Source organism: Homo sapiens, chromosome 5 (assembly GCF_000001405.40).
Source record: "Homo sapiens chromosome 5, GRCh38.p14 Primary Assembly".
In the NCBI taxonomy this organism is placed as follows: Eukaryota; Metazoa; Chordata; class Mammalia; order Primates; family Hominidae; genus Homo; species Homo sapiens.
This window is the reverse complement of record NC_000005.10, coordinates 134050417-134062642: the sequence shown is the minus strand read 5'-3', so window position 1 is coordinate 134062642 and position 12226 is coordinate 134050417. Positions and strand designations below refer to the sequence as shown.

The following is a 12226-nucleotide window of genomic DNA, read 5'->3' as shown; positions in this document are numbered from 1 at the left end:
ACAAAGAAACAAAAACAAAACAAAAAACAAACAAAAGCTGTTTCAGAAAATTGGAAAAGAAAGAATGCTTCTTAATTAACTTTATGAGGTTAGTATAATCTTGTTTGGTCAAGGGCAATATGAGAATATTATAGGCAATCTCATTTGTGAAGAGAAAGGCAAACTTCCTAAATGTATTAGCAAACTGTATATAGATACACACACCAGGGATACAAGGACAGTTTAAAATTAGAAAACCTAAAGTAATTTGCCAAATTAATGAAGTAAAGAAGAACAATCATATAATCATCTCAACAGATGCAAGTAGAAAAAGCATTTGATAAAAATTCCGTATCACTCCTTGTAAAAACTCTTGACCAGCCAGGCAAAGTGGCTCAAGCCTGTAATCCCAGCACTTTGGGAGGCTGAGGCAGGTGGATCACAAGGTCAGGAGATCAAGACCATCCTAGCCAACATAGTGAAACCCCATCTCTACTAAAAATACCAAAATTAGCCGGGCATGGTGGTGGGCTGCTGTAGTCCCAGCTACTCAGGAGGCTGAGGCAGGAGAATCGCTTGAACCCAGGAACCTGGGAGGCAGAGGCTGCAGTGAGCCAAGATCATACCACTGCACTCCAGCCTGGACGACAGAGCAAGACTCTGTCTCAAAAAAAACAAAACCAAAAAAACCCAAAAAACAATTCTTGACCAATCCAGAATTGAAGGGAACTTCCCAAACCTGAGAAAGGGTATCTACTAAATACCTACAGCAAACAATATCCTTGATGGCAAAATATTTTAAGCATTTCCGTTAAAATCTGACATGAGGAAAATCTACCTGCTACCACTGATACCACTCAACATTGTGCTAGATGTTTTAGCTAGCATAGTAAGATGAGAAAAAGAAATTCAAAGAATAAAAATTACAATGGAAGAAAAAATTGCAACTTTATGTGTAAGAAGACATGATTGTCTTCATAAAAAATTCAGGGGCTGTGTGCAGTGGCTCTCGCTTATAATCCCAGCATTCTTGGGGGCTGAGGCAGGAGGATCCCTTGAGTCCAGGAGTTCAAGACCAGCCTGTGCAACATAGGGAGACCCCATCTCTACAAAAAAATTTTAAAATTAGCTGGGTATGGTGGTGTGTGCCTGTAGTCCCAGCTACTTGGGAGGTGGTGGTGAGAGGATTGCTTGAGTCTGGGAAGTTGAGGCAGCAGTGAACTGTGATCTTACCATTGCATTCCAGCCTGGGCAACAGAGTGAGACCTATTCCAAACAACAATAACAACAAATTCAGGGACTTTACAAGTGAGCTGTTTGAACTAAGAACAGTTTAGTTAGGTGGCTGGATATAAAGTCAGTATACAAATGTGAAATAAAAATATTTAACAATTATATCCAGGAGGGAAGATGAGGAACAGGAAGAACAGGATGGAGGATGGGGCTTTAGCCATAGGTATAGTTTGCTTCTTTAAAAAGAAAAAAAAAAAAAAAAAGGAGGCTAGATGTGGTGGCTCATGTCTGTAATCCCAGCACTTTGGGAGGCCGAGGTGGGCAGATCACTTGAGGTCAGGAGTTCGAGACCAATATGGTGAAACCCTGTCTCTACTAAAAATACAAAAAATGAGTCAGGTGTGGTGGTGTGTGCCTGCAATCCCAGCTACTCGGGAAGCTGAGGTGGGAGAATTGCTGGAACCTGGCTGGAGGTTGCAGTGAGCTGATCGCACCATTGCACTCCAGCCTGGGTGACAGGGTGAGACCCTGTCTCAAAAAAAAAAAAAAAGAAGAAGAAGAGGAGGAGATCTGCAACAAATAAAGCACAAGTATGTCTACTATATCGTTTTCATTTGTTGAATGTTTCCATGTAATATACATAATACATATAGAATGATATGTGCAACATATATATGATTTATAGGTATAATTTCAAAATAAGCCTCATGACCCTTACAACTAACTTAAAAACTAGAATTTTACCAAGACCATTTTACTATTGTATCCTCCTTCCCCATCCTTTGTCTTCCAGCCTACAAGCAAGCTCTATTCTGAATGTTGCAGTTATAAATTCTTTGATATTTTAAAATAGGGTTTGAGCTATCATATTATTTTCTGTACTTTTCAATGTGTTTGAAATGCTTCCAAATTTTAAAAAAGGCAAAATATGTCTATTCACAAGTGTATCATATATCTCTAATAAGAAACACGATTATTGGAAAAGAAATGTTTGGAAATGACTAGGAAGCTTTTTGGTTTCCTAATGTGTACTGACCTTACTATTCATTCATTCATATTTCCTGAGCACCTTCCTGGTGCCAGGCACTGTGCCAGGTGCTGGGGATGCAGACACCTGCATTGGACGGGTGGTCGATCCCTGGCTGGGATGAGGTGCGTGCAGCGCATCAACGTGGTAGCTGGAGCACAGTTGCACTCAGTGGTGACCAGTATTATTATTATTAGTTCCTAAGAAATGGCACAAAGTTTCCAGCTGCTGAAATCAGGATCAGTTTCTGACTCTTGGCTTTACTGTGCCCAACATGTGCTCATTAGAGTCTGTATCTGGCTTGTTCCATGTACTTGATGAGGCCAGCATCACTAGCAGGGGCCCTGGGGTGTGGGAGAGGATCTCTGTGGAACAGCCCTGGAGGGCGTGCAGGGTGCAGAAGGCCTGTGGATTTTAGAGATGCTCAGAGTCCTGGGGGTGGGTGTGATTGCTCCTGAAGGAGACACACAGTCTCCCTGGGCCTCTGCCCAAGCCTGGCTTTGGCTCTCATTCCTTGCTGTTTGTGCCTCTCTGCGTCACCTTCAGCCACACAATCAAACATGTATAACAAAGAAACCCAAACAAGACATCAAATTTGGGTAGCATTTAAGTTTGCTGTTGCTGAGAATCAGTTCTTGAACTGAAAGGAATTTTGTTGGGGGCAGGATTGAGGTGGGGGGTATAGGGTGTGGTTGGCTTCATTATACTAGCACAAAATAATGACCCAGTTCTCTTGAAAATTCTGGAAACCCTGTTGTCATGGACAAGGATGCCCAAATGGCTCGGGGGTGTGCTGATGCTCAGAGGCCTGTGGGGTCAGCTCCTGTTTGGTAGGAGCTCATGAAACAGCGCGACGGGCTTCTAGCTTCCTGGCCCTATGAACAAGGCTGCTCCAGGCCCTCCCTGGGTGTGGGGATGTCTTAGAGGGCAGAGGACCACTTCCCTGGGGCCACTGCCTACAGCACGTGGGAGGCTCTCCCATAGTTTCACTTGAAAGATGCAGAATGAAAGTGTGCTAGGCTCTGATGCCAGCCGCTTCCTCTTGGTCTAGAGCCAAGGAAGCCCTGGGTCAGAGCATGTCCAAGCCTCTCTCCTGGGATCACATCACTGAAACTGTACCTTGGCTCTGTGTCCTGGGAGCCTGGGAGCCTCACGTTGGCTGGTGGGGAGGGAAGCTGTAAGAGTGCCCAGTCTGCTGCTCCTGTCTGGGCCTTTCTTTCCTTACAGCCCTCAGCCTGGAGCTCTGGAGCTCCTTGCCAGCGTTGCCACCCCATAGGCTGGCAAAGCCTGCTAGGACAGAAGGCCTGTAATTTGTGACTCATGGCCTGTTGCCGACCATGGGTTGGCAAGCCACAATCTAGGCAGTGCTGAATCACTCTGGCTTGCCTGTTCTGCTGGCATGCAGGGTGCATAGCCTCTGCATTGGCACGCGGGCATGAGGAGGCGGTTATTGTAAAGCCCACCCTTGATGGCTGGGTGGAGTTGGGCTCAGCTCCTGGGGAGAGGGCAAGGTGGGGCCAGGGACTGTCTGCTGGGGCTGCAGTTCCCTGCAGAGAGGCTTGTGGAGAGGCCTTGGAGTGCCGGTCACGTTGCTGTGTCAGGTTCAGACACCCTCTGCCTCAGGAAGGCCCTGCTTGCTCAGGTCCCCTCAGTCCCTGGGAATGATAGGCTCCATCTTTGCTCTGTTCCCTATCTGGCCCTGATTAGAATGCAGTTTGCATGATCAAGGCTGGTGCAATGCATGGTCTGCCTAAGGTCTCTCAGGTGGCCTTAAGAGTCAGAGTCCTTGGGCCGGGTGCGGTGGCTCACGTCTGTAATCCCAGCACTTTGGGAGGCCAAGGCAGGTGGATCATGAGGTCAGGAGATTGAGACCGTCCTGGTTAACACGGTGAAACCCCTTCTCTACTAAAAATACAAAAAAAATTAGCCGGGTGTGGTGGCGGGTGCCTGTAGTCCCAGCTACTTGGGAGGCTGAGGCAGAAGAATGGCGTGAACTCAGGAGGCGGAGCTTCCAGTGAGCCGAGATTGCACCACTTCACTCCAGCCTGGGCGACAGAGTGAGACTCCGTCTCAAAAAAAAAACAAAAAACAAAAGTCAGAGTCCCTGGCTGGCCAGGGACAGCCCGGCTGCTGACCTGGGTCCGCTGGCCACTCACTCAGCCTTTTTATCATCATCAGCTTACAAAACAAGGACAGAAGTCAAAATAGTGAGAAGCAACTGGGCGTGGTGGCTCACACTTGTAATCTCAACACTTTGGGTGGCTGAAGCAGGCAGATTATTTAAGGTCTGGACCAGCCTGGTCAACATGGTGAAGCCCCATCTCTACTAAAAATACAAAAATTAGCTGGGCATGTGGCGGGTGCCTGTAATTCCAGCTACTTGGGAGGCTGAGGTGGGAGGATTGCTTGAGCCCAGGAGGTGGAGATTGCATTGAGCCAAGATCATGCCACTGCACTCCAGCCTGGGTGACAGAGCAAGAACTTGGTCTAAAACAAAACAAAACAAAACAAAAAACAGTGAGAAGTACCTTTTATTTTTGTCTGCCCATCAGACTGGCAAAAAATTTAAAGGACTAAAAATATCCAGTGTTGAAGCGAATGTAGGGAAATGGGTACTGCAATGTGGCAGGGGCAAGGGGGTCAAGACTGTTCTGAAGGGCCATTTGGCAGTACCTGTTAAAATTCAAAAGACACATATCCTTTTTTTTTTTTTTCAGATGGAGTTTCGCTCTTGTTTCCCAGGCTGGAGTGCAATAGTGCAATCTCTGCTCACTGTAACCTCCGCCTCCCAGGTTCAAGCAATTGTTGTGCCTCAGCCTCCCAAGTAGCTGAGATTACAGGCATGAGCCACCACACTTGGCTTATATAGATATAGATATAGATATAGATATAGATATAGATATAGATATAAATTTTTTTTTTTTGAGACGGAGCCTCACTCTGTCGCCCAGGCTGGAGTGCAGTGGTGTGATCTTGGCTCACTGCAACCTCCGCCTCCCAGGTTCTAGCAATTCTCCGGGCTCAGCCTCCCAAGTAGCTGAGATTAGAGGCGTGTGCCACCACAGCCAGCTAATTTTTGTATTTTTAGTAGAGATGGGGTTTCACCATATTGGCCAGGCTGGTCTCCAACTCCTGACCTCAAGTGGTATGCCCATCTTGGCCTCTCAGAGTGCTGGGATTACAGGCATGAGCCACCGTGCCCAGCCTTCACTTGGCTAATTTTATATTTTTAGTAGAGACAGGGTTTTACCATGTTGGTCAGGCTGGTCTCGAACTCCTGATGTCAGGTGATCCACCTGCGTCGGCCTCCTAAAGTGCTGGAATTATAGGTGTGAGCCACTGTGCCCAGCCAAAAGACACATATACTTTAGACTCAGCAGTAAACTTCTGAGAACACTTCATATAGAAAATCTTGGGCCGGGCGTGGTGGCTCACGCCTGTAATCCCAGAACTTTGGGAGGCTGGTGGAGAGGGGGGAGCGGATCACCTGAGTTCAGGAGTTCGAGACCAGCCTCAACATGGAGAAACCCATCTCTACTAAAAATACAAAATTAGCCGGGCGTGGTGGTGCATGCCTGTAATCTCAGCTACTCGGGAGGCTAAGGCAGGAGAATTGCTTGAACCTGGGAGGCGGAGGTTGCGGTGAGCCAAGATCGTGCCATTGCACTCCAGCCTGGGCAAAAAGAGCGAAACTCCGTCTCAAAAAAGAAAAAGAAAAACTTACACAATAATACAAAAACATTTTGCAATCCCAAGAATAACACAAAACACAAAAAGTTATGTTCAAGAATGTTCACTGGGGCTGGTGCAGTGGCTCATGCCTGTAATCCCAGCACTTCGGGAGGCCGAGGCTAGAGGATCACTTGAGCCCAGGAGGTGAAGGCTGCAGTGAGCCATGATCGCACCACTGTACTCCAACCTGGGCAACAGAGATAAACCCTGTCTCAAAAAAAAAAAAAAAAAAAAAAATTCAGTGCAGCTTTGTTGGCAATTGTAAAAAAGTAAAAAAGGCAACAGCCTTAATGTTCATCAATACAGTGATGTACACACTAGGCTACACATAGCTGCACATCTTTATGTACTGATTTATGCAAAAATCATATCTTGTAAGGTAAAAATAAATCACAGACCCCTAGATCTTTTTTTTTTTTTTTTTTTTTTTGAGACGGAGTTTCACTGTTGTCGCCTAGGCTGGAGTGCAATGGTGCTATATCGGCTCACTGCAACCTCTGCCTCCCCGGTTCAAGCAATTCACCTGCCTCAGCCTCCCGAGTAGCTGGGATTACAGGTGCATGCCACCACGTCCAGCTACTTTTTGTATCTTTTTAGTAGAGATGGGGTTTCACCATATTGGCCAGGCTGGTCTCAAACTCTTGACCTCAGGTGATTCACCTGCCTCAGCCTCCCAAAGTGCTGGGATTACAGGCGTGAGCCACCGCGCCTGGCCAATCTCTGGATTTAATATGATCTATTTAGGTAAGCAAGTTCTCTCTGTGTGTGAATGCATGTGTGCTTGCACGCCCATAGGAAAGGTCTGGAAGGATGTTAATGGTGCTTGTCTCTGGAAGGGGCTGATAACAATTGAGATAATGGGAGACTTTCACTTTTTAATCTATATAGTTTACAGGCATGTATTTACTTTTAAAGAAAAAAAGACAATTAAAAACAAAATAAGCAGCCGGGCGCGGTGGCTCACGCCTGTAATCCCAGCACTTTGGGAAGCCATGGCGGGCGGATCACCTGAGGTCAGGAGATCAAGACCACGGTGAAACCCTGTCTCTACTAAAAAAAAAAAAAAAAAAAAAAAAAAAAAAACATTAGCGGGGCGTGGTGGCGGGCGCCTATGGTCCCAGCTACTTGGGAGACTGAGGCAGGAGAATGACAAGAACCCGGGTGGCGGAGCTTGCAGTGAGCCGAGATCGCGCCACTGCACTCCAGCCTGGGTGACAGAGCGAGACTCCATCTCAAAACAAACAAACAAACAAACAAACAAAATAAGCACTTGTCCTCACATGTCACGAGGACCAGAATGCATGTACATGTATTTGTGCACGCCTGAGACACGGGGAAATCTCCTCCAAGGCTGAAAACTCTTCCCATGCCCCCCTTCCTCAGATCAAATCACCCCATAGCCACCACAGCGGGGTCCAACTGCCATTCCTAAGAAACAGACATCCCATATCCACCCTACACCCCACCCCTGTGGCTTCCTGGGGGCCACCTGCCCCATCTCCCAGAGCTGCCAGCCTGTCTCCTTTGTGGCTGCTTCCCACTCTGTCTATCCAGCATCCCCACCCCATGCAGCTGAGCTGTGGGCACCACCAGGGCAGCCATCCTGCCTTCTTTGCTTTCCGTTTATGTGCACAGAGAGGGGACTCAATCAATGTCTGGTGATCGACATATGACTGAACAATAAAGGAACGACCAGAGTTACACTGGGTGGGGACGGACCTCTGAGGTCACCTAGCCCACTTGCCTACCTGATGCCCAAATGCCCTCTGCTCGCCACCTCTAGCAATGGGGCAGTAACCACATTCCCAGGCAGCTCAGTCGCCGCTTCCTGTGGTAAGTGGTTCGTCAGGTTAATCAGGAGGAGGGCCAGTAACTGAGGCACTTCCCAGTTTGGCTGAAAGACTGTGGTCCAGTTGGGCGAGGTGGCTCACACCTGTAATCTCAGCACATTGGGAGGCCAAGGTGGGCGGATCACCTGAGGTCAGGAGTTCAAGACCAGCTTGGCCAACATGGTGAAATCCTGTCTGTACAAAAATACAAAAAAATTAGCTAGGCATGACGATGGGCGCCTGTAATTACAGCTACTCCGGAGGCTGAGGGGGAGAATTGCTTGAACCTGGGAGGCAGAGGTTGCAGTGACATAAGATGGCACCACTGCACTCCAGCCTGGGCAACAGAGCGAGACTCCATCAAAAGAAAAAAAAAAAAAAAAAGGAAGGAAGGAAGAAAGAAAGGAAAATAAAAGAGAAAAGAAAAGAAAGACAGACTATGGTCAGTTCTCAACAGGGAGAGTCTAGAAGCTTGCCAGGGTGAAATGAACTACCTCCATTTCTCCAGCCAGGAGAGCCCTGAGCCGCTGCACCTTGTTCCTGCCTGCTGGAGATTCATCCAGTTCCAGCAGGGCAGCCCCGCCCTAGCCACCATGCTGGCAGAGTAAATCAAGCATTAAAAACAAACTAATTAGTACTTCAGGGCAGTTTCATTCAAAAAATTACCACACTGAGAAGGTGTCTCATTTAGAACCGACTTAATTAAAAGACACCTTGTAAATTCCTGCAACAGATGAGGACAGTACTTTCCAGAAACGCCATAATTGAAATGTTTTACTGCTTATACCAAATGGTTATTAAATCCTTAATATCATAATTCCTTAAGAATGCCATTGTCAGTGACAAACAGCAGCTTGCACAACAAAGGAGCTGATTGTTCCCTCCTCTGGCCTGTAACCCACAGGAAGTCATAACGTAAGACTTCTCTGTTGCTGTACTTGGTTCTTTGCATTTTTAATGAGTAGGAGTAAATGCCAGCTCTGGGAGGAATCCACCATAAAGATAGAGAATGGAAAGAAGCCCTGTTTCTGACTTGTTGACTTGTGGTTTAGGGAAAAAGGCATCTTCCCTAGGTGAAGGCAGGCGCTGGTTGACTGCCGTATGGGTGGGCTGCCCTGACTGGGTAGCACAGAGATGCTAACTAAGTTGCCCAGCAAAGTGGAGGCTGGAGAGAAAGTCCCACCCATGCAATGTGGAATGGCCCGGAATGGGGCTGAGGGGGACAGGATGGGGTGTCCATAACCTGTTCTGTTTCCCCCCAGGCTTCCTCCCAGAGCAGCTGCCCTGGGGTGAGGTCCTCCGGGTCTGACTCCATGCAGGCTGCGCTCAGTGCTTCCTCCTGCAGGATCCTCCTTCCTGGCGCCTGCCCCTGGCACGGCTCACAGGAGCCCTAGACAATGATGGAGGGTTGGGCAATGGGTCCATTGACCCACAGCAAACTGACAAAATGCAGAGTATCCCCAGGCATGGTGGGTGCGGGTTGGAAGGGGGTTGTTTGTAGAATGGAGGGCTTTTCAGAAGGAACTGAAAGCCATCTTTTTGCTGACTTGCTGGGTGACCAGGCGAGTGGCATGGCCACTCCATGCTTCATTTTCCTCATTTAAAAAGAAAGTGGTGTTAGCAGGGCCTGGATTTGGAGTCAGTCTGATCTGAATTCAAACCCTGCTCAGTTATGCACTGTGGTATTTGGGGCTTCTGTTTCTTTTATTTCTTTCTTCTTTTTTTTTGAGACGGAGTTTCACTCTTGTTGCCCAGGCTGGAGTGCAATGGCGCTATCTCAGCTCACCGCAACCTCCACCTCCTGGGTTCAAGGGATTCTCCTGCCTCAGCCTCCCGGGTAGCTGGGATTACAGGCGTGCACCACCACGCCCAGCTGATTTTGTATTTTTAGTAGAGACAGGGTTTCACCATATTGGTCAGGCTGGTCTAGAACTCCTGACCTCAGGTGATGGCCCACCTCGGCCTCCCAAAGTGCTGGGATTACAGGCATGAGCCACCGCACCCGGCCAGGGCTTCTGCTTCTTAACTTTGCAAAGTTGGGGGAGCAACAGTAGCTCCCCACAGCATGGTGTCGGGGCTAAATGAGCATGTGTGTAGAGCACCTAGCACAGCGCCTGGCCCATGGCAGTGCTCAGGAAGTGGACTGAATAGGGGAGGGAGAAGCATCTTTCCTTTTAACCTTCTAGGTTCTCAGCAGGGACCCATAACAAAAGACAGCTTAACAAGAGAAAAGCATGCAAACTTATTTAATATAAGTTTTGGTTGAGCACGGTGACTCATGCCTGTGATCCCAGCACTTTGGGAGGATCACTTGAGCCCAGGAGTTCGAGACCAGCCTGGACAACATGGAGAGACCTTTGCCTCTACAAAAAAATACAAAAATTAGCCAGGCGTGGTAGCATGGGAGGATTGCTTGAACCTGCAAGGTCGAGGCTGCAGTGAGCCAAGATCAAGCTACTGCATTCCAGCCTGGGTGACAGAGTGAGACCTTGTCTCAAAAAAAAAAGTTTTACATAACACAAGAGGCTTCATAGAGAAATGAAGACCTGAAGACAGTTAAACCTGCGTTTTGTACCAGGTTTAATGAAGAGTGGAGAGTTGTGGGAAAAGGTGACAGGACAAAAGAGAATGAGGTCAATCAGAGTAGCAAACTGGGCAAAACCAGGAAAGCTTGACCCTTCAGATTTCTCTTTGTCTTCAGAGGTAAGAAGATGCATCTTCCTTTCCCGCTGGTGGAGGGAGGGCGCCTTTCAAATGAGGGGTTATGACCTGCTTCAGGGGAAGGTCAGAGAGTCCTTCTTGCTTGTACCCGCTGTTGCTCAGATTCCTTCAGCTTAAAATATTCGGCCTTATGCAGTGGCTCACCCCTGTAATCCCAGCACTTTGGGAGGCTGAGGTGGGCGGATCACCTGAGCTCAGGAGTTCAAGACCAGCCTGGCCAACATGGTGAAACCCCGTCTCTACAAAGATACAAAAATTAGCTGGGCATGATGACAGGTGCCTGTAATCCCAGATACTCGGGAGGCTGAGGTGGGAGAATCACTTGAACCTGGGAGGTGGAGGTTGCAGTGAGCCGAGATCGTGCTATTGCACTCCAGCTGAAGCAACAGAGCAAGACTCCATCTCAAAAAAACAAAAAAACAAAAACAAAAACAAAGCCAAAAAAAAAAAAAACAAACTGCCCAGGCACTAGGGGTAGTGTGTCCTTAACCCTGTTGATTGGTATTGATGATTAACATCATTTAATATCTGTAAGAAGAGAGATATGGAACAGATGGTGTCACATCCAGGTATTGAGCAAGGGGACTGGCTGACTCACTCAACAAGGTTCTCACAAATGATCAAGCTCACAGAAGGGCACTGCCTGAAAGGAAAAGGCAGTGGAAGAAGCTCTGGCCCCAAACCAAAATGCAAGTGACTCTGTAGCAGTCTTTTGTTTGAAGAACGTTGGTTAGTCTGGTTGCCCTAACCTGCAGAAGCATCCCAAGGCGCCTTCTTCACTGTAGCCCAGGCCTAGCCCACTGTGGGTGCTGCCAGAGCTGCTGTGGACTCTGAGAGCGGGCTCAGCATCAGAGCTGGGTTGGGACCATTGCAATCTGGAGGGCTGTGGGAGAGTTGGAGTTAGGGCCTGGCCCCCCTGGCTCCTGGGCAGTGCTCCTTCTCCATCTCACTGTCTGTACAGTCCAGACAGCTGTTGGCCCACAGGGTGCCTTCAAGGAAACTGGAAGAAGGTGCTCTGTCCTCCTCTAGCTGGAGGGCATGGGGTGGATTTCAGCCTCACTGGTTCCCCGGGCCAGGTGCCCTTGTGCAGGGCACAACACATACAACTGTATAAGGCCTAATACACTGCCAACTCTCCCCTCAGCCAGGAGTTCACACATGCCCTCAAGAACCGCCAGAGGCCTCTTCACTTGCAAGGCCCTTCCTTATCCCCAGAAACTCCTGATGGCTTTTTTGCTGGGAAGGGGTGGATTGTTTTTATCCACCTGAGCCCCTGCTTCCATCCCCACCTTGACTCTGCCACCACACTCGCCCAAAGCCAACTCAGCAAACACAGATATGCCCAGTGACACCCTCATCTCCAATTTGACATGTTTTTAATATTCCACTTTGAGAATTTTTGCATCCTTTGAGTTTTTCAAGAAGTTTCTTAGGCTAATTCCCATTAGGAGAATTCTGCCTTAACTTCAAGTCAACCAGTACATTGTGGAAGCTTCTAAGAAGAAGTGGAAGACTTTGAGAGAAAGTCATTAATGTGGAGAAGAACGGGCAATCATTCCCCTGTAATTTAGGAAGACATCGGCCTCCCTATTTCACACTCAGTATTTTGCATTCTCTTTCATCTCTCCCCCTGCCCAGAGGAAACAGTTGCTGGGGGGGCTTGGAAGTGTAAATGGGGCTTCTCTTCAGTGCATCCCCCAAAGGG

The 12226-nt window shown here is 48.1% G+C and overlaps 1 protein-coding gene across 6 annotated transcripts in view, besides 3 other annotated features; it reads left to right on the top strand.

Moving 5' to 3' along the window:
* The window catches only part of VDAC1 (voltage dependent anion channel 1), a 142670-nt gene that overhangs the window by 51898 nt on the left and 78546 nt on the right, over positions 1–12226 (top strand). The window lies entirely within an intron of this gene.
* Positions 2967–3563: an enhancer, noted in NCBI's record as "H3K27ac-H3K4me1 hESC enhancer chr5:133394771-133395367 (GRCh37/hg19 assembly coordinates)". NCBI's record gives its function as "activates a minimal SCP1, AML or CMV promoter by ChIP-STARR-seq in primed H9 embryonic stem cells {active_cell/tissue: H9 hESC(primed)}" and the evidence as "EXISTENCE:reporter gene assay evidence [ECO:0000049][PMID:30033119]".
* Positions 3564–4162: an enhancer, noted in NCBI's record as "H3K27ac-H3K4me1 hESC enhancer chr5:133394172-133394770 (GRCh37/hg19 assembly coordinates)". NCBI's record gives its function as "activates a minimal SCP1, AML or CMV promoter by ChIP-STARR-seq in primed H9 embryonic stem cells {active_cell/tissue: H9 hESC(primed)}" and the evidence as "EXISTENCE:reporter gene assay evidence [ECO:0000049][PMID:30033119]".
* Positions 10254–10829: an enhancer, noted in NCBI's record as "NANOG-H3K27ac hESC enhancer chr5:133387505-133388080 (GRCh37/hg19 assembly coordinates)". NCBI's record gives its function as "activates a minimal SCP1, AML or CMV promoter by ChIP-STARR-seq in naive H9 embryonic stem cells {active_cell/tissue: H9 hESC(naive)}" and the evidence as "EXISTENCE:reporter gene assay evidence [ECO:0000049][PMID:30033119]".